The following is a 24,752-nucleotide window of genomic DNA, read 5'->3' as shown; positions in this document are numbered from 1 at the left end:
ATTTAAAATGTCCAATTATTACTGAATAAAACAGAAAGTCAGTCAACTTTCAAAATATACTATAACGTGGTATTTTTATTAGCCATTCCCAAGAATATTCCTTAGGACAGAGAGGCAGAGATGAACCACAACTTACAGGTATTCAAATGCCCAGCGTCTAGCACAATATCTAGTCCTCAAGTCAAATGTTTACTAGATTAAGCTGAACCAAAATTCAAAATAAATTCAAAAAAACTATCAATTTTCATATATTAACATTGAGACTAATAACTTTAAAATCATTGAGAAAGTTTTTCACTTCCCTCTGAATCACTTTCTACTGACACCAGCTGGATAAGAGAAAACAAATGCAAGTCTCTTAGTATACAAAAATGCATAGATTCTTAAGGTCATATAATCTGAAGCTCAGAAATAAAAGGACTATCTCATTCCACATAGATCATGTTTTTTCACAAACACCAAAGGTGCTTTTTTGTTTTGTTGATGTCAACATTGACAATGTGAGGGGAAACCAATAAAGGTAACAATGTGACATGGCAAACACCAAAAATCACTCCTGAGAAAACTATTACCTAGAGAAAACTATTACCTCCTTTCAGGACAGACTGACAATATGTCTAATCAAAGAAAATGATTGTTTTGCATTTCCTTCATCAATTTCGGCAATTTATTTTCAAAAGTATATACCTGATATGCAAAGTAACATGTAGAAAACAAGAGTTTATCAAAAGAATACTACATAAGAAAAATAAAGGATAAGGCTTTAAGCACTAAATAGAAAAGCAAGTTAAATACAGAATCATGCACGAAGCTGGTGGATCACTAAATATTGACTGATTTTAGGTCACAGGACAAATCCCTAATTATCCCGTCCCTGAAGGTTTTTGTTGTTGCTGTAGTTTTAATGAGACAGGGTCTCACTGTTGCCCAGGCTGGAGTGGAGTAGCACACCACAGCTCAGTACAGCCTTGACCTCCTGGGCCCAAGCAATCCTCCTACCTCGGCCTCTGGGACTGCAGGCACATGCTACCAGCTAACTTTTTTTTTTTTTAACTTTTGTAGAGACAGGGTCTTGCTATGTTATATTGCCCAGACTGACCTCAAATGATACCCCACCACAGCCTCCCAAAGTGTTGGGATTACAGGCATAAGCCACCATGCCCAGCCTCCATTCCTGAAGTTAACCTCTTTCTTGGTATCAACTTCATAAGCAAGATACATTTATTAAACATATAATTATATAGGGCCCAAAAGAGGAGTCTGTAATTACAGAAAAAAAAAATACCTTGAAGAAAGGTATATATGCAGTAGCATCAAAATATGAAATAAATAATAAGGTTATAAACAGATCAGAGATAAATACAGTAAAGGACTAACTGGCTACGCGCCTACTTCAACTCAGAAAAATACTGTGAGAAAAATTGATAAAGTAACTTTTTTCAAAAAATACCTAACACAAAAAGTACTAGGTACTTAGTACTTAGAAAAAGATGAACAACCCAAATTAAAAACAGGTGCAAGTGAATACGTTAACAGAAAAAAATACATAAATGACCAAAAATATATGAAAAAATACTCAACCTTACTCATGGAAAACTGCAAATCAAAACAATGATTTACTCTTCTTCATCTATATGATGAATATGAGAGGAGGCATTTAGGCCATAATTTTACACATTTGGAAAAACATGATACATGACTTTGTACCTTGCCTTTTATTCACTCAACAAGCCCTATCTCCATCAGTCAAATAGTATTGCACCAATGAATTCTTTTTAATGGCTATATAATATCCATTATACAGATGTTTTAGTTTATTTGGCTATTTCTCTTGATGGGCATTTTTCCTTCCATACTTTTGACAATCATAAACCATGCTATGATAAACATTGTTGTACATATGTCTTTATGTACTTGTGGTTCTCTTTCTTTTTTAGAGACAAGAGTCTCACTCTGTCATGCGCACTCAGGCTGCAATGCAATGACACAATCACGGCTCACAGCCTCGAGCTTCTAGGCTCAAGCAATCCTCCTACCTCAGCTCCAAAAGTGCTGGGATTACAGGTATGAGCCACAATACCCAGCCTTATGATTTTATTTCTATTTGATAAACTCCCAGCAATGATATCACTGGATTGAAGAACATTCATCTTTAAACTCAGTAAGTGTTCTTGATACTTTTTTCTCACATTGCTTTTAATTTTGGGCAAGTATGACAGATATAAAATATCTTACTAATTCAAATTTCCTTGGCCACTAATGAATTTGAGCATTTTTTCCCTATAATTGTTAGACACTGGGTTAGGCTCTTCTTGTCAACTGCCTATTCATATCCTTTGTCCTTTGTTATTAGGTTTATTTTTCCTGTTAATTTCTAAGAGGTCTTTGTATATTATAGACATTTAATCCAGTCATCTGAAAATTGCTATCATAAAAGAAAAACAAAAAAAGTAAAAAAGACAAATAATTGCAAAGCTGATCATTATACATTTTTACACTATATATTAAGTAATTGCGGTTTTCGCAATTAAAAGTAATTGTGAAAGCCACAATTACTTTTGCATCAACCTACTATATTTGCAATGTGCCAGTGCACACTCATTTTCATTTTTCCTGTAATTTACTATAACACTAAGATTTAAACCCAAACCTTAGCATAGGAAAGTTTAGCTACATTGTAATATTTAGTATATATATAAAACCTAAGAAAATATTAATATATCCAATATTTTTATTAATATTTCATAAGAAATCAGTTTTTAATTATGTTGATCAAATGTTACAGAAGCCTCTTTCAATTATCATTAGTGCATTAGAAAACAACATATTTCTTCGTAATTCATTTAAACTTAAAATTTTAAAGACCTGGCATCTTTTACAGTACAGTTTCCCATTTTCTCACTTTTAAACTTTGTTTTCCACTTTTCCCTGTTATATAAACATCAATAATAAGAGTTAAAATTACTTCCAACTATACATCTTCTTAAAAATACTATTCATAGCATACAGTTATCCTTTCACATAATTTTTAAAGTTGACAAGACCCAAAATAAGAAGTTATTAGGAAAAAGCATCTTGACTTATGTTATTTTACATTTATTAAAAAATTCATGTAATGAACAGGCATCCTACATAAAAATTAATGCTAAAAGTACATTGCTTATCATTTGTACCTGTAACCTTATAAGACATTTCTCTGTAGCGGGTCAGGTCTTCTCCATTAACTAATACCAACTGTGGACACTTTTCTTTTGCATCTCTGACATTCATAAGTTTCTTAACTCCAAGTTTCCTAGCTTCATAGTTGCAGGTAACCACCAAATATTTCTGTTGAACCCCTGTAAAAAATATTTTATGAGAAACCCAAGCACAATTGAAGAAAACATTTAAAGATATTATTAATTCCGTATTACATTTGTCTAAATTGTAAGACAATCAGTTTTGATAAGAATCAAAAGCCCTGTCTCAATTAAAAAACATAGCCTCCATATATCAAATCTCTATAATGCAGAAACATTAGGTTTTCAAGCTATCTCCTAATTATGAATTATAATATACCAATGTATTATTTTTCCATACCCCACTTTTAATCTCTAGTTGTTTTGTCTCCTTGAAGAAGGAAAGTTATTATTAAATAACAAAACACTGAATAACACAGAATTAAAAGTTAGACGATAGATCAATTATTCATATACAAAAGGCAATCTATGTATTACATTTCTAAAATTTAAAAATGAACCTAAATCAATATATTCTATGGAATCTTCAGTGATAAGATACAAATCAAATCTCTCTAGGATTTTTTTCCAGACAATATAAAAGCAGATTAATTTATACTGCCATATAATAGGGCATGTTCTACCAAAAAAAAAAAAAACGGATGAAAATAATTGAGTACAACTAAATACTGGTTGCTGCTAGAAAAACTCAACTTCTCTTCTCCGTAACTTGCTAATATAAAGCAATATAAAATATAATATGTATATAAAATATATAAAACAAGTGCTGGGCTACAGCAATTTTTAGGGATCTAACAGTTATGTACTACTTATTGAACTGTTCTATCAAAAATGATTAAATTATGATCATTTATTTACAGACTGCATAAAAAATTCTAGTTTATTGGTGACTCAAGATTGCTAAAAATTATTTGCTCTTTTTTTATACAAGTTGACTACTTGCTTACCACTGTAAGAGTAATGTTCACCTAAAATATGTAAAATACAAACATGTAGAAAAAAAAGGTTATGTCCACTTCTCTATTAGACATTGTTTCTAAAATTTTGATATCATAAACAACATTATTTTTATATAAAGTTTTTTCATATATCAGGTAATGCCCAAAAATATAATCATGGAACCAAAGGTAATAATAATTTGAGATTCCTCAGTGAACTACATAAAAAATCAGATTGCTAGATTTCTTAACTAAAAAAAGGAGTCCTTTAATAGAGCATTACATTATATGGCCTCATCACTGCATGTCACTACTGGTCGGGCACGGTGGCTCACGTCTGTAGTCCCCGCACTTTGGGAGGCCAAGGCAGGTGGATCGCCTGAATTCAAGCATACGAGACCACCCAGGGCAACATGGTGAAACCGTCTCTACTAAAAATACAAAAAAATTAACCGAGTATGGTGGCGCACACCTCTAGTCCCAGCTACTTGGAAGGCTGAGGCAGGAGAATCACCTGAGCCCCAGAGGCAAAGCTTGCAGTAAGCCAAGATCGCACCACTGCACTGCAGCTTGGGCTACAGAGTGAGACCCCTTCTCAACAACAACAACAAAAACAAAATGAAAGACTACTTTCGTTTTCCCCCAAAAACATGGAGCATTCATATCCCTCACTTCCCAATAATCATTCATTCGTACTTAATTACAGTTTTTTTATTAAGCATTATCTACAGAACATCTTATAACACAGTGCTACTACTCAGAAATGCCTTCAGGAGAAAAAACTTAGGTCCCCTGATTCTAACTCCTTGGCACCCTTAGAAAAGTTTTAAGATCCTAGACTCACCTTGGCGTAGCAAAAACTAGTCATCCCTTTGTTCTTCAGTAAATCAGCTAGGCTGGATTGGGATTTATTAAGCCAAAGTGGGCACAAGAGGGTAGCAGCAAGTGAACCAAAAATGTTCTTTATGCTTACACTAAAAGAGGAATCTTTCCTGCATGCATGAAAGAAAATCTCTTTATCTTTCTCAATTTAAAATATGAATAATAAAAATGATAAAACAAGCTAGCATATCAACAAATATCCAATATAAAATTTATTTTGGCTTTTATTTAAAAAGATGCTTATGTTTTTACGGCAAGTTTGCTGTCTTAATAATACTTAGGTTTATGTTCAAAATCCAACTAGTTAGTTAGATGTTACACAATTTAAGAGATAATTTCAGAAAGGGGAGGACAGACGAACACTTCCACTAAAATGTAATAAGAGGCTGTTTTTGAGAACAAAGCCTGTAAAATTTCAAATAGTGAGAAAAAGAAATCTGACCAGCAAACTAAGCTACTAACCAGCACAGAAAAGTAACATTTATTCTGCTTTCTCTTCATTTGTTCTGCCGACTACACTATTCTCAGATTCACCACTTATTAAATGAGGCTTGTAAAATTTACACTTGGTAGTGAAGCAAAAATGACCAGCTATAAAGCACTGTAAGAACTGCTTCCAAAATCTTTCTTAATAAGGTTAATAAATCAGTATATAATGAGCATGATGAGTTGCTAATCTAATCATTATGCAATTAAAAATATTATAAATCTACAGTTACCTAAAGGTTTGTCTTTTAGCTCTGGATTTGAGATCATTTCTACTTGTGCATAAAAGCAATCCAGATCCACATGTACTATGACTCTGGATGAAGCATTTGGTGTGGGCAACACTTGATCATGAACTCCTGCACAATATGCAAAGAAATAAAAAGAAATTCAGGCTGCTTATTATCTCTGAGCAACTGACAGTTCCTTAAAACATGGTACCTGTGAAGGAAGAATGCAGAGTGACGTGTTTTCTCCTGGATTATGTGTGAAAGCATCGAAAAATTACAAAGACATGAAACTCCACTTAGGGTAGGGTCTTCAGTCCTCTTAATTACTGTTTGTGCACTGCGTTTTTCTCAGGATAGTAATAAGTTTGAAGGGAAAAAATGTGATAAATAATGGATGATGAAAGAGCTAATACTATCACCTGGAAGTTTATAGTAGCTCTTAGTGTAAACCAGAAGGGGCAGAAAAGTTGAAATGACGTTGATTTTCACACAGCTTGAAAATTATTCTAAGCAGCATGCCCTTACATTTAAAACAAACAAACCAACAAAAACTGAAATACAAAATGGCAAAAGACAACCAGTGGGTACAAGTGTGGGCTATTTTTAGCTCCCATGGCAGCAGGATTATCTGGTTTAATGCTAAATCGCCAGTGCCTAAAACAGTGTCTAGGACATAACAGACCACCAATAAATATTCACTAAATTGAAAGACTGAATAGTTCTTTGATTTTAAAAAGTTGTTAGGTCATTATTTGTCGGGGAGGGAATGACAGAGGCGACTCCTTCTCTCAACACTGGCTAAAAACAAGACAGGCAAAATACAATACAATATTCTGGTTGGGATCCTGGAACAGAAAATGAACGTTAGCAGAAAAACTGGTAGAATATTAATAAAGCGTGTAGTTCAATTAATAGTATTATACCAATGTTAATTTCCTAGTTTTGACAAATGTACTGAGTTTATGTTAACACTAGGGGGATCTAGCTCTGCAACTTTCAGGTAAACCTAAAGTTCCAAAATTTAAAAGGCCAGGCACGATGGCTAACTACTGTAATCCCAATACTTTTCGAAGCTGAGGTGGAAGGATCGCTTGTGGCTGGAGTTTGAGACCAGCCTGGACAACACAGCTACACCTGATCTAAAAAAATCTGAAAATCAGCCAGGTGTGGTGGCACGTGCCTGCTGTCCCAGCTACTCGGGACGGAGAGGCTGGGGCGGAGGATCACTTGAGCCCAGGGGTTCGAGGCTGCAGGGAGACCTTGTCTCTAAATTAATGAATGAAACAAAACCAGCAGGAAATGAGAACCGGTGCCTTTACATCCAGGCCCTGAGGTGGGCGGTACAAGGTAAAGACCAGAGCTGGAAGTGGGTCACCGGAGACGTGACCACAGCGGACCTGACTCCGCCTAGGTTCTGAGCCATCCCTTCCTGCCAGGACTGAGATCCGGGTCCCACCTTCTGCCAAATGAGCGACAAGGTCCTCAACTTCTCCAAAGTTAAAAGGCCCAGAAGCCTCTGCAGTTTTCGTCGGGCTGGCTGAGGGATTCCCGCCCCACCTCGCCCCTCACAGAGGAAAGGACGGCGCAGATAAACCCTCGACACGTATTTGTAGTGTGGACGCGCCCCACCCTACTCCTGCTGGGTGAAGCCATTCCTCTAGAGGTACCCGCCGCGTAACACAAGGCAGAGGGAGGCAGCCCTCTCTTAGAGGAGCCGAGTGGGGCGGGGACGGTCGCGCCCCAGTGGCCGCCGCCCCGAGCGTCCGCCTGCCCCACCCTTCTCATTTACACCCAAGGAGGCCGCTGGCTCCTCTGGCTGCGGCGCACCCTGCGAGCTGGCTGCCGCCCCCACGTCCGCCAGTTCCATGGCCCAGGCCTCGGCGTCTTCCTCGTCGTCGTCGCCGCCGCCTTCCTCCTCCGGCTCCACCCCCAGCTTCTCCATCCCGCCGCTGCCAACCGCAGCGCTACTTCCGGCCGCTTCCGCCTGGTCTCCAGGGAAACCGGGGGACTACAGTCTCCAGTCGCTCTGTGCCTCTCGCCTGCGCAGTCGTGGCCGACCAGCCTGTTGCCCAGAGTGACACGCATGCCAAGGAATCGTGGAGGCCCACGTGCGGGAGTTTTTTCCCGCCGGGTGGAGGCCGGAAGCGGAGAGATTGAAAGCACAAATGGCTATTTTTTTTTTTTTTGAGACGGAGTTTCGTTCTTGTTGCTCAGGCTGGAGTGGGCAACAGTGACGCAATACCGGCTCACTGCAACCTCTGCCTCCCGGATTCAAGCGATTCTCCTGCCTCAGCCTCCCAAGTAGCTGGGATTAACAGGCATGCGCCATCACGCCCAGCTAATTTTTTTGTATTTAGTAGAGACGAGGTTTCACCATGTTGGTCAGGCTGGTTTCGAACTCCTGTCCTCAGGTGATCCACCCTCCTAGGCCTCCCAAAGTGTTGAGATCACAGGCATGAGCCACTGCGCCTGGCCTTTTTTTTTTTTTCTTGAAGGCTTTGGAGTTAGGCCCACATCACAAATTTTAGCGTTTTGTCTTTGTTCCATTCGGCTGTTAGCAAACTTGCAAATCCCTAGACCTGAGTGATTAATGTGATGGGGTGGGAAGGAGTGTAACTGATAGTAAAGACACAGGTGGCCTTGTAAACTCATATGATTAGCAACTATGTTAAGGTTTGCTGTGTTTTGTTTGTTGTTGTTTTATTTAAAGACACTGTGACGAATTCAACCACAGAATTTTTAACATCAAAACTGAATAGGATTTGATACATGAGTGTTGTAGTCAGACAAAATCTCCAATCCAGACCCTCCATCATGCTGTGTGACTTTGGGCAGGTTACATAACTGCTGTGAGCCTCAGTTGCTCTACTCTTAAAAAAAAAAAAAAGTATTGAGATTGAATGAATGGATAAAAGCTACCATATACTGTAATATCCTAATGTATATAAAACATGTGGCACATAGGAAGTGCTCAGTAAATGTCTATTCTCCTTGCCTTCTATTAGGATACCATGTGTGCATGTGTGTGTTGGTGTGTGTATGTGTATGTTTTACAATAGAGGAAATTTGGAAATTCCTCCATGCCTGTATGTATGTATATACACTATATCTGTATAAATACCCAAATTAACACATATGTTTGGTTTTTTATATGATTCTACTTCTTATCAAATAAAATATTAGAACCTTGAGAAACCCTTTAAAGCAGCCATTCCCAACCTTTTTGGCACCAGGGGCTGGTTTCATGGAAGACAATTTTTCCACAGACAGAAGGGAGGGGGATGGTTTTGGGATGATCCAAGTGCGTTACATTTGTTGTGCACTTTATTTCTATTATTATTACATTTTAATAGATAATGAGGTAGAATCAGTGGGAGCCCTGAGCGTGTTTTCCTGCAACTAGACTGTCCCATCTGGGGTGATGGGAGATAGTGATAGATCATCAGGCATTAGATTCTCATAAGAAGCATGCAACCTAGATCCCTCGCATGCGAGTTCACAGTAGCGTTCAGGCTCCTGTGAGAATCTAATGCCGCTGCTGATCTGACAAGAAGCAGTGCTCAGGCAGTCATGCCAGTAGTGGAGAGTGGCTGTGAATACAGATGAAGCTGCACTCCCGGGCCCGCTACTCACCTCCTGCTATGCGGCATGGTTCTTAACAGGCCAGGGACTGGTTCTGGTCCATGGCCTGGGGACTGGGGACCCCTGCTTTAAAGGATATGTTGATGCATCCATGAAGAAAAGGGAATAACAAGCAGAGCTGGGTCTCAGTGGTTTGGAAACAAAATCTTCCTCTTTGCATATTTAATTCTTAGATGTCTGGACCAGTTCTTTCAAAGTCTGCTATCTAGGTTATAAATTACCTGTTCAGAGAGCTAGGCTGCTATCTTTGTGAAAGCTGTTTGATAAGTCTAGATAGTTGTTTGGTGGTTTTTCATTTTATTTAGTTATTTATTTATTTATTTTGAGACAGAGTCTCAGTCTGTCTCCCAGGTTGGAGTGCAGTGGTGCGATCTGGGCTCACTGCAACCTCTGCCTCCTGGGTTCAAACAATTCTCCTGCCTCAGCCACCTGAGTAGCTGTGATTACAGGCGTGTGCCACCATACCCAGCTAATTTTTGTATTTTCAGTAGAGACAGGGTTTCACCATGTTGGCCAGGCTGGTTTCCAACTCCTGACCTCAAGTGATCCGCCCGCCTTGGCCTCCCAAAGTGTTAGGACTACAGGCATGAGCCACCGCGACCCAGCCTACATAGAGAGCTTTTGAATTGAGTGTCTCTTTGTCCACTAAGTGCTTCTTGGACAACATTCAGTGGTCTGATTACTAATAGACAACCAAAGTTTGTTTTTCTTTTCATTCTTCCAGATAGAAAATGATATAAACACTAAAATACTATGGCAGATGAAAACGGTCTCTCTAGAAGAGCCCTAGGCTCACTAACATTCAACATGTTGCTTAAGTGAGACAGTGTTAAAAAACAATGCACGTAATCAAGCCCTCTTTAGTTAGTTGCATTTATTTCCCCATCCGTTGTTTAATTTGAAGAGTGGCTTTTAATTTCGTGAAAGGATAGAAAAGTAGACCCTTGGAAATCCTAGGGGAGCAAGCAGGGCTGGCTTGATGAGTATGTGACGTAGGCAGTCACATAGGGCTCAACACTTGATTTCATATTCTGCTCTTGTCTTGAAATTCTTAATTTTTTAACAAGGAAGCCCCATATTTTCATTTTGCCCTGGACCCCAGAAAGTATTTAGCAAGTGCTGGAAATAAAGAAGAGAAGCAGCACTAAAAAGGACACTCATAAAACACCTGTATATCAAGCACAGGGCTAAAAGCTTGAAACAGGTCATTTCATTCAATATAATAGCCCTAGAGGGTAGATGTCAGCATCCTCATTTTACCAAAGATGAAATAGCCTAGGAGAGATTAACATGCTTGCTCAAGGCTATGAATCTAGTAATGGCAGATCCACTTTTCAGAATTTTCCACAGTGAAGAATTCATTAATAATGTTTTCTCCATATAGGAAATCAATTAGCTCTGACCATTTTCCTCACTGCTTCAAACACCAGACGGCTGGTAGTGGGGAGAATAAACATCCCTCAAAGGTATTAAGAGGCACGAAAATAAAATTTATATAAGCTAACGTGTCTCATTGTTTTGGAATGTTTTAGGAAAAAAGGATTTTGGGGTTTGATTCTAAAAATCCCTACTCCCAGTTTTAATTAATAGGATCTAATCTAGAATAACTTCAGGAAATAGCTGTCTTGAGCTTGGGTCATAACTGTATATTTAAGTGCCAAATGAAGAAAACAATTTCAAGGCAGAATAGACATAGTTAATTAAATAATATTATGGTCAAACAAAATTTATGGAGGAGCATGGATTTACAGAGCGTGGCTAGTGGATAAAGAAGCTGGAGGCATTTTAGAGCTTCAGAAGTCAAGACATGCCAACACGGTGGCTCACATCTGTAATCCCAGCTACTCAGGAGGCTGAGGCAGGAGGATTGCTTGAAGCCAGGAGTTTGAAGCTTCAGTCATGTATGATTATGCCACTGCACTCCAGCCTGGGCAACAGAGCGAGACTCCATCTCCAAAAAGAAACAAAGAAAGAAAGTCAGCACATTATGAACTTAAATACATTTAAAAGGATAAGCATGAACTCCCATGTCAGTGGAGGGTAGGAAATAGGCATCAGTGGTTACTTCTCTCCTCTTAGCCAAATTGGCCACATATGGCTCAGAGGAAGAACACTAGACAATGTTCAAGGTATTTCATATGAAGAATGTGAGGGTGTTTGTGTCTGTATTTTATGTTGGTGGGTGGCTAAGTGGGTAGAGTTGACCATGGAGTTAAAGGAGCAATTTGAATTGGCAAAGGCACAGAGGATTTGATTTTGTGAGGTCTTTGGCCTAACGCAATCGTTCTCAAGCAAGCTGATTTTGTTCCCTAGTGAATATTTGGCAGTGTCTGGAGATATTTTAGGTGGTCACATCTCTGTGTTGGAGCTCTGTGCTACTGGCATCTAATGGGTAGGGGCCAGGGATATTGCTGAACATCCTGCAGTGCAAAGACAAACCTTTATGACAAAGAATTATTCATCCCAAAGTGTCAATTGGTCCGTGGTTGGGATACCAGTAGTGTCTACACCACCTTGCTCCCAACTAGCCTCTTCAGATTAGGGTCTCCAGTTGTAATGAAGAATTGGTCTTCAGTTACGTGCTTTTAATTATAGATAGGACCAGGTTTGGTGGCTCATGCCTGTAATCCCAACACTTTGTGAGGCCAAGGCAGGAGAATGGCTTGAGCCCAGGAGTTTCAGACCAGCATAGTGAGACTTCGTCTCTAAAAAAAAGTAATAAAAAAAAAAATTAACCAGGCCTGGTGGGACATGGCTGTAATCCCAACTACTAGGGAGGCTGAGGTGGGAGGAATGCTTGAGCCTGGGAGGTTGAGGCTGCAGTGAGCTGTGATTGTACCACTGCACTCCAGCCTGGGCAACAGAGTGAGACTCTGTCTCAAAAAAAAAAAGAAACACACACACACACAAAAGAAAAGAAAAGAAAAGAAAAAAGGGTATAAAAGATGAAAATAAGTATTATTTAGTTGCTTCTCACTGTGGGAATTTACATTCTGATACTAAAAAACAAATGGTATGCATTTGCTGGAAAAGAAATTTAAGAAAAATATCCACGGCTTGGCGTGGTGGCTCACACCTACAATCCCAGCACTTTGGGAGGCCAAGGTGGGCTGATCACTTGAGGTCAGGAGTTCAGGACCAGCCTTGCCAACACAGTGAAACCCCATCTCTACTATAAATCCAAAAATTAGCTGGGCATGGCCCATAATACCAGCTACTCAGGAGGCTGAGGCAGCAGAATCACTTGAACCCGGGAGGTGGAAGTTGGCAGTGAGCAGAGATCCTGCCACTGTACTCCAGCCTGAGCGACAGAGACTAGGTCTCAAAAAAAAAAAAAAAAGAAAAGAAAAGAAAAGAAAAAGAAAAAGAAAAAATATCCACACTTTTATGGAGCTTATGAATTGCCCCTAGGGTGAAAAGCTAATGAGTCAGGAATAATTTGAAAAGCGAAGAGACTAAAACCAGAAAACACAGGCTTCAAAAGGTTAAAAGCAAACTATAATTATGCTATGCTGGCTGTAGTACAATGTACATGTCCTGCGGTATTTACTTACCTTTCATCCATGGGTCTCAAACCTTTTGCATGAACATTTCAAGTGTCCAAAGAAACCTTTTTTTTTTTTCCACCATCACATTGCACACCATAGCTGCAGATTGCAGTTTCAGGTTTACTCTGTGTAACCTAAAAGTATCTGCTGCACACCATGTGATTGGGGCTAAAAGAAGGTGTAAGAGACTGGAGTTTTTCTAACAGTCATCTTCTTGCTCTGACTTTTCTTTGTGGTGCTGTAAAAGTCTGATGAAAAGCCTGCATAGTCATTTCAGTAATGATATTTTAAATGTTGTTTGCCAGGGTGTGTGCTTAATGGACCTAGCCTCATCATTTTGGATGGAGAGAGGTGCAGACCAATATGATCACAATACAAGTCATTTGGTCCTAGTTTGTAAATAAAGTCTGCAAGGTTCAGCCATTGACAGAAAGAAACTACGTGGTGTCACGTAGAAGGTACAAGCAGATCAGTAGAGATCAGGTATACTGTTTTAAGTTTATAGACATTTAACTTTAATGAAACATTTTGTAAAGTACCTCTTTTTCTGATTGCAAAAGTAATACATTATTATTATAGAGAATTTGAAAAACATAGGACTTAAGAAAATGATGGAAATAATCTGTAATAATCCATAATCTTGATGCTCAGAAAACCATGCTTTAATCATTTTTTCACAAAGCATGACAAAAAGAAAGTTGCGGTTTTTTTTTTTTTTTTTTCCCGAGACAGAGTCTCACTCTGTCACGCAGGCTGGAGTGCAGTGGCACGATCTTGGCTCACTGCAACCTCCACCTCCCAGGTTTAAGCAATTCTCCTGCCTCAGCCTCCCAAGTAGCTGGGATTACAGGTGTGCACCACCATGCCCCACTAATTTTCTGTATTTTCCATGAATAAATTTGTGTATTTATTTACCAAACCACGAAAACCACTGTAAGATGCATTGCCTAAATAAATGACACAGAAAACGTTCTATCCATGTATTTGTTTTTAATGTTAATTCGAAGAACATGAATAAAGACAGTCTCAACTTCATCTTGGAAATGCTAACAAATTCAACTTAATAATCTCCATTTTTCTGGTTTGAGATTAATATAAACTCTCTATAAAGAAAAGTAATGCTTATATTTATAGGACTTTTTCTTACTGTTGCTTCAAAGACTTCATTGAAGTACTTATTGATCCTAAAATTACTGCTTCTGTGTCTACTTAAAAATTTTTTTTCTTCATATCCATTGTTTAAGAAATCTTACTAAAACAAAAAGGTATAAACCATAAAGTTAAAATCCTTCCTAATCCCCACTCCACCTTGAGGTGACCATTGCTAACAAAATTTGATACATTTAGGCTTTTATTTATAATATTCTTAGTATAAGGAAGACACAATGAAAAATATTCTAATTCACATGAGTGGGATCACACTATGTATACTATTTGCATTAGACTTTTTTACCTAGTATATCTTGAACACCATTTCCTTTCAGTGCACAAAAATGTACTGCATTCTTTTTAATGGCTACATTGTTTCACCAATTCCATAATCATGGACACTTATTTCTGATTTTTTGCTGTTACCAGTAATGCTGCAGTGAACATTCTTGTTCATATACCTTTGTGCCCTTCTTCATGGGTTTGATCCCACCCTTCCCTAAGACACATCCAATCTCCTAAAATTCTAGAATAATGTTATATTTTCCAAATTCTCCATCATAATCATGGATTACTTTTTCAATTAAAAAAATGAGGTACTGGCTGGATGCAGTGGCTCACACCTGTAATCCTACCATTTGGGGAGGCCAAGAAAGGAGGATTGCTTGAGTGCAGGAGTTCAAGGCCAGCCTGGGCAACATAACAAAATCCCATCTCTACAAAACTTTAAAAATTAGCCAAGCATGATGGTGTGTGCCTGTAGTCCCAGCTCCTGAGGAGTCTGAGGTGGGAGGATTGCTTGAGCCTAGGAGGTCCAGACTACAGTGAGCTATGATCACGCCACTGCACTCCAAACTAGGCAACAGAGGGACATTGTTTTCCAAAAACAAACAAAAAATGAGGTACTTAAAAAATTACATTAAAGTTAGATGTCTATAAATTTAACACAGTGTGCCTGATCTATGTTAATCTGCTTGCACTTTCTGTATTACATCAAGTAGTTCCCTTTCTCTCAATGACTGAAACTTGCAGACTTTATTTACAAGCACATTATGACACATGAGGCCTGTCGGGTCTACCTCCAAATGTTCTCTCAAATCCCTCTACTTCTCTGTGTCTGTACTGACACTACCCCCACCCCCGCGCCCCAGCCCACATACATACAGTTATCTCTGGTTTGGCCTGCTGTACTGGGCTCCTAGTATCTGCTTTTTACAATCTGTGAGCCTTAGGACAGCCAGAATAATATTTTAAAAATGTAATATCTAATTTCCTTTTCCTGCCAAAAATCCTTCAAAGGCTTCCTACAATACCTAAAGTAAAAATCAAACCCTTTACTCGCCATGGTCCTCAAGGCCCTGATGGAGCAGGCTCCATCTCTTCTCTACTTCTCATAGCAAGTGACCATCTTTTCCTACACTTGGGCTACTCTAGCCCCTTTTTTTTTCCTTTTTTTCTTTTTTTTTTTTTTTGAGATGGAGTCTTGCTCTGTAGCCCAGCTAGAGTGCAGTGGCACGATCTTGGTTCACTGAAACCCATGCCACCTGGGTTCATGTGATTCTCCTACCTCAGCCTCCCAAAGAGCTGGGATTACAGGCGTGCACCACTATGCTTGGCTAATTTTTGTATTTTTAGTACAGATGGTGTTTCACCATGTTGGCCAGGCTGGTCTCGAACTCCTGACATCAGGTGATCTGCCTGCCTCAGCCTCCCAAAGTGCTAGGATTACAGGCGTCAGCCACCACGCCCAGCCTCTAGCCCCTTTTCTATTCTGGCGACACATATTAGTTGTGGGTTGGATACCCAGAGGCCCAGGAGAGCCAGTGGTATAGTTCTAGTCTGAACCAGAAGGCCTGAGAACCAGGAAAGCTGATGATGTAAGTTCCAGCCCAAGCCTAAAACATCAGGTGAAGACTGATGTCCCAGCTCAAAGACAGTCAGATAGAGGGTGCAAATTCTCCCTAACTCAACCTTTTTGTTCTATTCAGGTTTTCAATGGATTGGACGACGCCCATCCACCGTGGGGAGGGAAAACTGTTCTACTCCATCTGCTGATTCAAATTTTAAGCTCATCTACAAACACTTCAAAGATACTCCCAGAATAATGTTTAACCAAATATCTGGGTCCACCATGACCTAGTCAAGTTGATACATGAATTAACCATCACAGGACAATTTTCTGCCTCCAAATCATTCTGAAGTTTGGAACGTTTTTCACAGAACTGGTTTGTTCTCTTTTTTGAGTTCTCTGTTCAAATGTCAACACCTCAGACTGACCTTTCCAAACTGCACTGACTCAGAAGGCCTCCCCCAGAGTTACCACATTCTCTCATATCTTACTGAGTTTCGTTTATAACACTTATCCCAATATGTAATTATCTTATTTACATCTTACTTGTTTTTAATGTCTCTCTCTCCTATTAGAACATATTAGGGTGGAAAACGTGTATGCCTTGTACTTTAATAGAATCCACCAAAAATATACTTGCGGTAAATAAATATTATTTATTTCTTTTTTTTTTTTTTTTCAGATGGAGTCTCATTCTGTCGCCCACGCTGGAGTGCAGTGGTGTAATCTCTGCTCACTGCAACCTCCACGTCCTGGGTTCAAGCAATTCTCCTGCCTCAGCCTCCCCAGTAGCTGGGATTACAGGCACATAACACCATGCCTGGATAGTTTTTTGTATTTTTTTAGTAGAGACCGGGTTTCACCATGCTGGCCAGGCAGGTCTCGAACTCCTGACCTTGTGATCCGCCTGCCTCGGCCTCCCAAAGTGCTGGGATTACAGGTGTGAGCCACCCCGCCTGGCCAACAAATATTATTTCAACATCAGTGGAAAAATTGACACCTGAATGATGTCAGATTTAAAAGACTGTTATAAACAAATTTTCCTTACCAAATTCCAAACACTATATGTAGATAAGCCCTCCTGTAGGAAGGCTAATCTCCCCCTTTCCTAATCTCCCCCTTTTTGCTGGTGGGCTAGACATAGTGACTGGTTGCTGAAGAATAGAGTGTAGAAGGAGAGGAATATGCTGGGTGCAGTGGCTCACGCCTGTAATCCCAACACTTTGGGAGGCCGAGGTGGGTGGATCACCTGAGGTCGGGAGTTTAAGACCAGCCTGACCAACATGGAGAAACCCCGTCTCTACTAAAAATACAAAATTAGCCGGGGTGGTGGTGCATGCCTGTAATCCCAGCTATTCGGGAGGCTGAGGCAGGAAAATCGCTTGAACCCGGGAGGCAGAGGTTGCAGTGAGCTGAGATCGTGCCATTGCACTCCAGCCTGGGCAACAAGGGCGAAACTCTGCCAAAAAAAAAAAAAAAAGGAGAAGGAGAGAAATAGGGCCGGCCGCAGTGGCTCATGCCTGTGATCCCAGCACTTTGGGAGGCTGAGGCAGGTAGATCACTTGAGGCCAGGAGTTCGAGACCAGCCTGGCCAACATGGTGAAAACCCATCTGTACTAAAAACACAATAAATTAGCCAGGCACAGTGGTGTGCACATGTAGTCCCAGCTGCTTAGGAGGCTGAGGCAGAAGAATTGCTTGAACCCGGGAGGTGGAGGTTACAGGGAGCAGACATTGCACCACTGTACTCCAGCCTGGGTGACAGAGCAAGACTCTGTCTCAAAAAAAAAAAAAAAAAAAAAGAGAGGAATAGTAAATTTATAGTGGAGAAATCTGCAGTCACTAACTTAACCAAATAACCACATGGATGTATCCCTTATTAAAGGTAATCGAAAGGGCACAGCGTTACTTCTGTGGAATTCTTGCCCAAAATGCATAATCTCAATCAAATCATAAGAAAACATCAAAATTGAGAGGCATTCTACAAAACCAATAATTAACCAATATTCATCAAAAGTGTCAAGGTCATAAAAGACAAGATGTTTATAGAAATACATTAATTTTGGTTTCTACTTAAATTTTATTTTTTAAAATAATTGTTTTAGAGATGTGGCCTTGTTAGTTGGCCAGGATGATCTCGAACTCCTGACCTCAAGTGAGCCTCCTACCCCAGCCTCCCAAAGTCCTGGAATTACAGGCATGAACCACTGCATCCAGCCATGTTAGTTTCTTAGTTTTGACCAATGCAACAGCATGGTGATGTAAAATGTTAACAACAGGGGAAACTGGTAAGGCGTTTATGAAAACTCACTTTATTATGTTTGCAACTATTCTCTAAACATAAATTTATTCCAAAATAAAAAGTTTATTTAAAAAAGTCACAAACCAGAATCTAAATAAACCACAGTAGTTTTTTCAAGGCTTCACAAATAAGAGAAGAAAAAACTAAAGTAGAAAGTCTCTCTAGAGGCCAGGTTCCGTGGCTCTGGCTCATGCTTGTATTCTCAACACTTTTGGGGTAGGCAGGCAGATGCAGGATGGGCAGTGGAGGCAATGGTGTCCTGAGATGGGAGGTTCAGCTGAGCTAGGGAAGGTCAAGGCTGCAGTGAGCCAAGATTGCACCATTGCACTCCAGCCTGGGCAACAGAGTGAGACCTTGTCAAAAAAAAAGTTATCTAGAGAAATACTCATATGTTGCTACTGGTACTCAAAAGTGTAATATAAACCCTACCTTTTAATGTTACTAACATACACATATTTGATAACTACTATCCTCTGAATTGTTTAAAACTTTTTTAAACCTCTTAGGTCTCAATTATTCTTTTTCATTTCTGTCACCATGCTTTAAAATCTTTAAACGATGCTATCATTAGAGTTAATGCCTATGTAGTGTTTATAATTGAAGAATATTTTTGAACAGATTGGTACCAAACAGACAATTACTGCTGTTGAAATAATCACTTCTTTAAAAACTTTGTACGTAAGATGATTCTTACTTGTCTATAAGCTTTGGCTTATTTTTCTTTTGAATAAATGCCAGAAAGATTATTAAGAAATCAATGGTAGGCCGGGCACGGTGGCTCACATCTGTAATCCTAGCACTGTGGGAGACCAAGGTGGGCAGATCACTTGAGGCCAGGAATTCGAGACTAGCCAGGCCAACATGGTGAAACCCCATCTCCACTAAAAATACAAAAATTAGCCGGGCATGGTAGCATGCACTTATAATCTCAGCTACTCAGGAGGCTGAGGCATGACAATTGCTTGAACCCAGGAGGCAAAGTTGCAGTAAGTCAAAATTGCGCCACTGCATTCCAGCCTGGGTAACAGAGTGAGACTCTGCCTCAAAAAAAAAAAGAAAGAAAGACATGGTAATGAGTACCTGACGAAAGAATTCACAAATTCTGTGAAGGCCGAGGAATCTCCTATCCATCTGAGGATAACATAAATGGAACGTTAGCTATAGAGTCTTCTGCCAGTGTCTGAAATGGTTCCTATTATAAGGTAGCAACTATTCAAGAATAAGAGGAGTTTGTTCTTTTTGGTCACTTGGGCAGTTAAATTCAAGTTGGTAATGCCATTTGCTACATTCACGTGTGTAATGACAAATTAATTAATAATCCACCATAGAAAATATCCTGGTTTTGGATTTATAAAGAATTACCTGAAAAATTGATACTGAAGACACTGAAGAAAAAACTGTTGACTTGATTTACATTTCTTTACCTTCATGCAACCACAGATCAAAGTCATGAAAGACAAAGAAAGAGTGAGAAATTGTCACAGTTTGGAGGAGACTAAGTAAATATAATAAATAAATCAAAGATGAGATCCTGGATCAGATTCCAGGACAGAAAAAGGACATTAGGGGAAAAACTGGCAAAATGTGAATAAGGTCTGTTTTTTAGTTAATAGTTTTGTTCCAGTGTTTATCTCCTGGTTTTGATAATTATACTATGGTTATGTAAGTTGTTAGCCTTAGGGGAAACTGGGTAGAGAGTAGATAACAACTTTCTGAACTATTTGGACAACTATTTTGCAACTTCTGTAAGTCTAAAATTATTTCAAAATAAAAATATTTTTTAAATTACATTGGAAAATTCCTCAGGAAGTTGTTACTTCAGAGAGAGGCATAGTATTTCTCAATGTTCTAATTGAGTTTTTCTTCCAGCTTTGAGGCAGAACGTTGTTTCTTCGCTTGAGCAGCAGATAAAGTGCAGTTGGCTTGTGCTTTAGTAGCAGTTTGCACAAAAGTATATATTTTTAAATACTAGAATTATGCTCTATACACTGAGATGTTGATACTTTTGAGAGGCCATTGAAAAAAAGGTTCACATTTCTTATATTTATGCCAGAGTATTTGCTCATTGAGAGGAATATTGGGCTGATTTTCCCAGATAAATTAAAATTGAGGGATTTTTTTCCTTCTTTTTTTTTCTTATCAAATGCATATAGTTGAATTTAAATATGTTAAATGTAGATATCATGTGACTTCACTGTGATCCAATGGGGGAAGTAAATATTTAGGAATTTTGCTAAACTGGTTATGGGAGATTCGTTCTTTGAGATTACCCTGTAAATTACAATCATTAAAAGGAGGCCCTTTTGGCGGCTCAGTAATTATACGCTATTTTATAATAGTGACCATTGATTAATCACCTACCACATGCTTGACCATTAAACTGTCTCTAGTCTAATACAGAATCCAGCAATGAAATGTCCCATTTCCTTAGAGATGAAGAAATGGAGGCTCAGAGAAATTAAGTCACTTGCCTAATTTAGGCTTCAAACTCAGTTTGGGCTGTTTCTAAATGTCTAACTATTTACTGGTTGACCTACCCTGCAAGAAATTCTACCCTTAGTGAATTGTGGCATAATGAGATTTCAATATAGAAGTCTTTTGACTTACTTGAAATATTTTGTTAATTTTAAGAAAAAAATAGGATATTTCATTTGAACATAGTCATAGGTAATTATATTTTCTTCAAAATATAGAAAGTCAAGAAAACCCAAAGTCTTCTAGTAATTAATTGAATTATTAGGTTCTGTTAACAACAGAATATATTAAGCTAAAAATTATGTATTTTGTAAGTACATTGACTTAATTGTATCAAGATCAAGAATGCCTTTAAAAATGTATAACTATAGTACTCTAAATGTATTTTGTTTAAGCAAGAAAAAGTATCAATGATCTGAAAGAAGTAACTCTTAATGTTTACTTTCAAAATCTACTTTGGCCCTGGGTGGTGGCTCACGCCTGTAATCCCAACACTTTGGGAGGCTGAGGCCGGCAGATCACAAGGTCAGGAATTCGAGACCAGCCTGACCAACATGGTGAAACCCCATCTCTACTAAAAATACAAAAATTAGACAGGTGTGGTGGTGCGCGCCTATAGTCCCAGCTACTTGGGAGGCTGAGGCAGGAGAATTGCTTGAACCCGGGAGGCGGAGGTTGCAGTGAGCTGAGATCACACGACTGCACTCCAGCCTGGGTGACAAAGCAAGGCTCCATTTCAAAAAAAAAAAAAAAGAAAAGAAAAAGTCTACTTCCTTGGCCCTATATTTACCATACAGAGCCGTAGTAAAAAATTTATGGGTAATCTCCTTGGCTGAAAGGTATCCTTTCAAAGCAGAAATAAATAATTACCCTTACTCTGATCTCATTGAGCGTTTCTAATAAAATATTTAATTATGGACTTCGGATATGGGAAATATTTTCTAGTTGATCTTTTATTCTAATATGTATGCTTTATAATTGGATTGAGTGACAAAGATCATTTACCTGATAAAGAGGGCAATTAAACTCTGTGGCTATTGTTGCTTTCACCTTACAATTAAAAGTGACATAATTAGATCCTATACTTTAGCACCCTGTTATAAGATACAGGTTTAAACCTATCCCTTACATCATGAAACCAACAAGTTTCACTCCATCTGACCCAGCAGCCCTTCTCAGTGGAGCCGATGAGCATTAAAGTGGTTCTGATATCCTCTTTGCCTGAGCAGACAATGTTCCCTCAAAGTTCTCTAATAAACACAGAACACCAATGTTCCCTACTGGAGTTTTCAAAACTAAAGTGTGACCTAGATGATCAGTTTCCCAAACATTCCTGGTCCCAAGAATCACCAATCAGTTATCATTAAAAGTACCTTCTTTTAGGCACCTCATCAATAAATTATGGTGAAATAGATTGTGCAGGGGCTTGAAGATCTGAATTTTAGACAAATGTCACTGGTGATCAGGCATATTTGAGGCATCGGTCTCAAATTTCAAAACAGTAACATACAATAAAGCATCAGTTACTCCTGTGGGGTGTTATTAGGGTACTGGAAAGAATATGAACTTTGTTATTAGATAACCCTCATGTTTCCCCATTTATGAATTTTTAACGTCTCTTTTAAGGTCTGTTTTAAAAGATGATAATATCTATCTCTCAAATTTATTTTAAGTATTAAATATGAAGGATCTGGATTTGTGATAAAGTGTGGTCTGGGAAACAGCAGGTAGCAGTCGCTAAAACCTCGTAAAAAAAAAAATGCAGAATCTCAGGTCTCTTCCCAGACCTGCTGGATCAGAATATGCTTGTTAAAACAATCCTCGGATGATTCACATGCACATCAAAGTCGGAGGGAGGCACTGACCTAATCACTAAGTGTTCAGAAAATGCTAGATTCTTTCCTTCTCATTATGTTTCTTGTACCAATATTTCAACTCAGCTGGGACTCAGCGTCTGTCATCGCCGCTTCTTACTGTTGGTTTAAGTCCATCGGGTACACTTTGAGCTCTTGCATGAGGGAAAGGCATTCATAAATAAACAAATGCATGGGCTGGAAATCAGGCTACTGCAAAAGGTAACTGAGGATTTCTTTCTCAGACCTTTGCCCTCGCACGCTGCTGCAGGAGTGAAGCTGACAACACTCATTTTTCAGTCTTTTCTAAGCCTGGTTTCACGGCTTCTTATATGGGCTTTACTGATAGTTTCCTACGCAGCTCTTACTACCATAGGAATTGTTGTTAGCAGGGGAGACCTACAGCTAATAACTAAACCTGTTACTGCTTAAATAAAAATCGGGGGAAGACTTCGTGAAAAGGTTTTGAGTTTTTTTCATTTCCAGAGTTTATCATTGAACCCTGTGGAGACAGAGAATTAGGCAGAACCTGTCTTACTGCATCAAAGACATATTCAGTAATTGCCTGTAAGATGTATGGCACATGTTAGTGTAAGACAAATGAAAATGAAGATTATATTTTGAATTTTGGGTGTTCACTGAGGGAACAATGGGAAAGGCTTGCTGTTGCAACTAATGTTTTTGCTGGAATAATTTTATGAAAATGGCACATGAAATTAATATTGCTTTTAAATAAGTAGACTCACTCTCAGATTTACAAATATTTTAGCCATAGAAAGCCTTCTCCAATGCCTTGAGTTTCTTTTTGTTTTTGTTTTTTGTTTTTTGTTTTGAGACAGGGTCTTGCTGTGTCGCATAGGCTGGAATGCAGTGGTGTAATCTTGGCTTACAGCAACCTCCGCCTCCCAGACTCAAACTATTCTCCTGCCCTGCCTCAGCCTCCTGAGCAGCTGGAATTACAGGTGCATGTCACCAAGCCTGGCTAATTTTTGTATTTTTAGTAGAGATGGGGATTTCACCGTGTTGGCCAGGCTGGTCTCAAACCCCTAGCCTCAGTGCCCGCCTCAGCCTCCCAAAGTGTTGGGATTACAGGCATGAGCCACCACGCCCCAGCCCTTGTGTTCCTTAAAGAGTTTGTTGTCCAACAGAATTTATTGAGATCTGGTATTTGTAAGTGTTCTATCACTGATATATTCCCTAGAAGAATATTCTTCACCTGAGGTCAGGAGTTCAAGACCAGCCTGACCAACATGGAGAAACCCCGTCTTTACTAAAAATACAAAATTAGCCAGGTGTGGTGGCGCATGCCTGTAATCCCAGCTACTCAGGAGGCTGAGGCAGGAGAATCACTTGAAACAAGGAGGCAGAGGTTGCTGTGAGCAGAGATCGCACCATTGCACTCCAGCCTGGGCAACAAGAGTGAAACTCCGACTCAGAAAATAATATATATATATTATTTTTTATTTTCCCTTTAACACCAGTGAACACCCATCCTCAGAGGCTTCTCGTTACACTATAGTCTGTAGCTAAGCCCACAGCTTGACTTCAACCATAACACACCTCTCTCATTTTCCAGGGGTCCTATAGAAAGTTTTAAGTTGCGTTTTCGCTTACTGTTCCTAAGTTCTTGGAGAAAGATCTGTATATTGAAAGACTGATACACCAAGCTGGGTATGTTAGAATTCCACATGGTAGGTCTTTGAATTCACTGTCCACCATTTGCAATACTATGCAGGGTAAGCTTATATACTCCTTTGTTTCAGTAACATAGATTCAGCAGGATTAATGAGACATGCCTTGAAATTGAGGAAATAAAGAAAGAAGAAGTTTCTTTCACTAAAATTAATGGATTATCATGGCCAAGTGCAGTGGCTTACACCTGTAATTCCAGCACTTTGGGAGGCCGAGGCGGGAGGATCCCTTAAGCCCAGGAGTTCAAGACCAGCCTGGGCAACATGGCAAAAATCTGTCTCTACAAAAAATACAAAAATTAACTGAGTGTGATGGCACACGCAAGTGATTCCAGCTACTGGGGAGGCTGAGGTGGCAGGCTCACTTGAGCCTAGGGGTCAAGGCTGCAGTGACCCATGATCATGCCACTGCACGCCAGCCTGGGAGACAGTAAGACGCTGTTTCAAAAAGAAAAAAGGACAATTTTC

The 24,752-nt window shown here is 39.2% G+C and overlaps 1 protein-coding gene and 1 long non-coding RNA gene across 19 annotated transcripts in view, besides 7 other annotated features; one reads left to right on the top strand and one right to left on the bottom strand.

The window, feature by feature from the left end:
• POLI (DNA polymerase iota) overlaps window positions 1-7,785 on the bottom strand; it is a 51,788-nt gene extending 44,003 nt beyond the window's left edge. For 5 of the 18 annotated variants that reach the window (NR_147257.1, NM_001351621.1, XM_011525797.2 and 2 more), the window contains exons 1-3: window positions 7,603-7,785; window positions 5,779-5,904; window positions 3,174-3,338 (exon numbers count right to left, since the gene is read on the bottom strand). Coding sequence is in view for 13 of the 18 variants with exons in the window: in NM_001351621.1 (NP_001338550.1) it covers window positions 3,174-3,338; window positions 5,779-5,904; window positions 7,603-7,717 (406 nt within the window). In the remaining 5 variants the exon portion in view is untranslated. The other 13 variants (NM_001351611.2, NM_001351619.2, NM_001351620.2 and 10 more) reach the window with 9 other exon arrangements.
• Window positions 7,266-7,315: an enhancer, noted in NCBI's record as "active region_13347". NCBI's record gives its function as "activates an Ori minimal core promoter by ATAC-STARR-seq in GM12878 lymphoblastoid cells {active_cell/tissue: GM12878}" and the evidence as "EXISTENCE:reporter gene assay evidence [ECO:0000049][PMID:35858748]".
• On the top strand, window positions 7,359-20,055 carry LOC124904307 (uncharacterized). Its single transcript, XR_007066379.1, has 2 exons — window positions 7,359-7,438; window positions 16,103-20,055. It is a non-coding gene; the product is annotated as an uncharacterized LOC124904307 (long non-coding RNA).
• Window positions 7,386-7,635: a silencer, noted in NCBI's record as "silent region_9472". NCBI's record gives its function as "represses an Ori minimal core promoter by ATAC-STARR-seq in GM12878 lymphoblastoid cells {active_cell/tissue: GM12878}" and the evidence as "EXISTENCE:reporter gene assay evidence [ECO:0000049][PMID:35858748]".
• Window positions 7,846-7,975: an enhancer, noted in NCBI's record as "active region_13346". NCBI's record gives its function as "activates an Ori minimal core promoter by ATAC-STARR-seq in GM12878 lymphoblastoid cells {active_cell/tissue: GM12878}" and the evidence as "EXISTENCE:reporter gene assay evidence [ECO:0000049][PMID:35858748]".
• Window positions 8,236-8,385: an enhancer, noted in NCBI's record as "active region_13345". NCBI's record gives its function as "activates an Ori minimal core promoter by ATAC-STARR-seq in GM12878 lymphoblastoid cells {active_cell/tissue: GM12878}" and the evidence as "EXISTENCE:reporter gene assay evidence [ECO:0000049][PMID:35858748]".
• Window positions 13,217-13,266: an enhancer, noted in NCBI's record as "active region_13344". NCBI's record gives its function as "activates an Ori minimal core promoter by ATAC-STARR-seq in GM12878 lymphoblastoid cells {active_cell/tissue: GM12878}" and the evidence as "EXISTENCE:reporter gene assay evidence [ECO:0000049][PMID:35858748]".
• Window positions 15,052-15,111: an enhancer, noted in NCBI's record as "active region_13343". NCBI's record gives its function as "activates an Ori minimal core promoter by ATAC-STARR-seq in GM12878 lymphoblastoid cells {active_cell/tissue: GM12878}" and the evidence as "EXISTENCE:reporter gene assay evidence [ECO:0000049][PMID:35858748]".
• Window positions 24,046-24,548: an enhancer, noted in NCBI's record as "H3K27ac-H3K4me1 hESC enhancer chr18:51779086-51779588 (GRCh37/hg19 assembly coordinates)". NCBI's record gives its function as "activates a minimal SCP1, AML or CMV promoter by ChIP-STARR-seq in naive H9 embryonic stem cells {active_cell/tissue: H9 hESC(naive)}" and the evidence as "EXISTENCE:reporter gene assay evidence [ECO:0000049][PMID:30033119]".

This window comes from Homo sapiens, chromosome 18, assembly GCF_000001405.40.
Source record: "Homo sapiens chromosome 18, GRCh38.p14 Primary Assembly".
NCBI classification, from domain to species: domain Eukaryota; kingdom Metazoa; phylum Chordata; class Mammalia; order Primates; family Hominidae; genus Homo; species Homo sapiens.
This window is presented reverse-complemented; position numbering and strand designations above follow the sequence as displayed.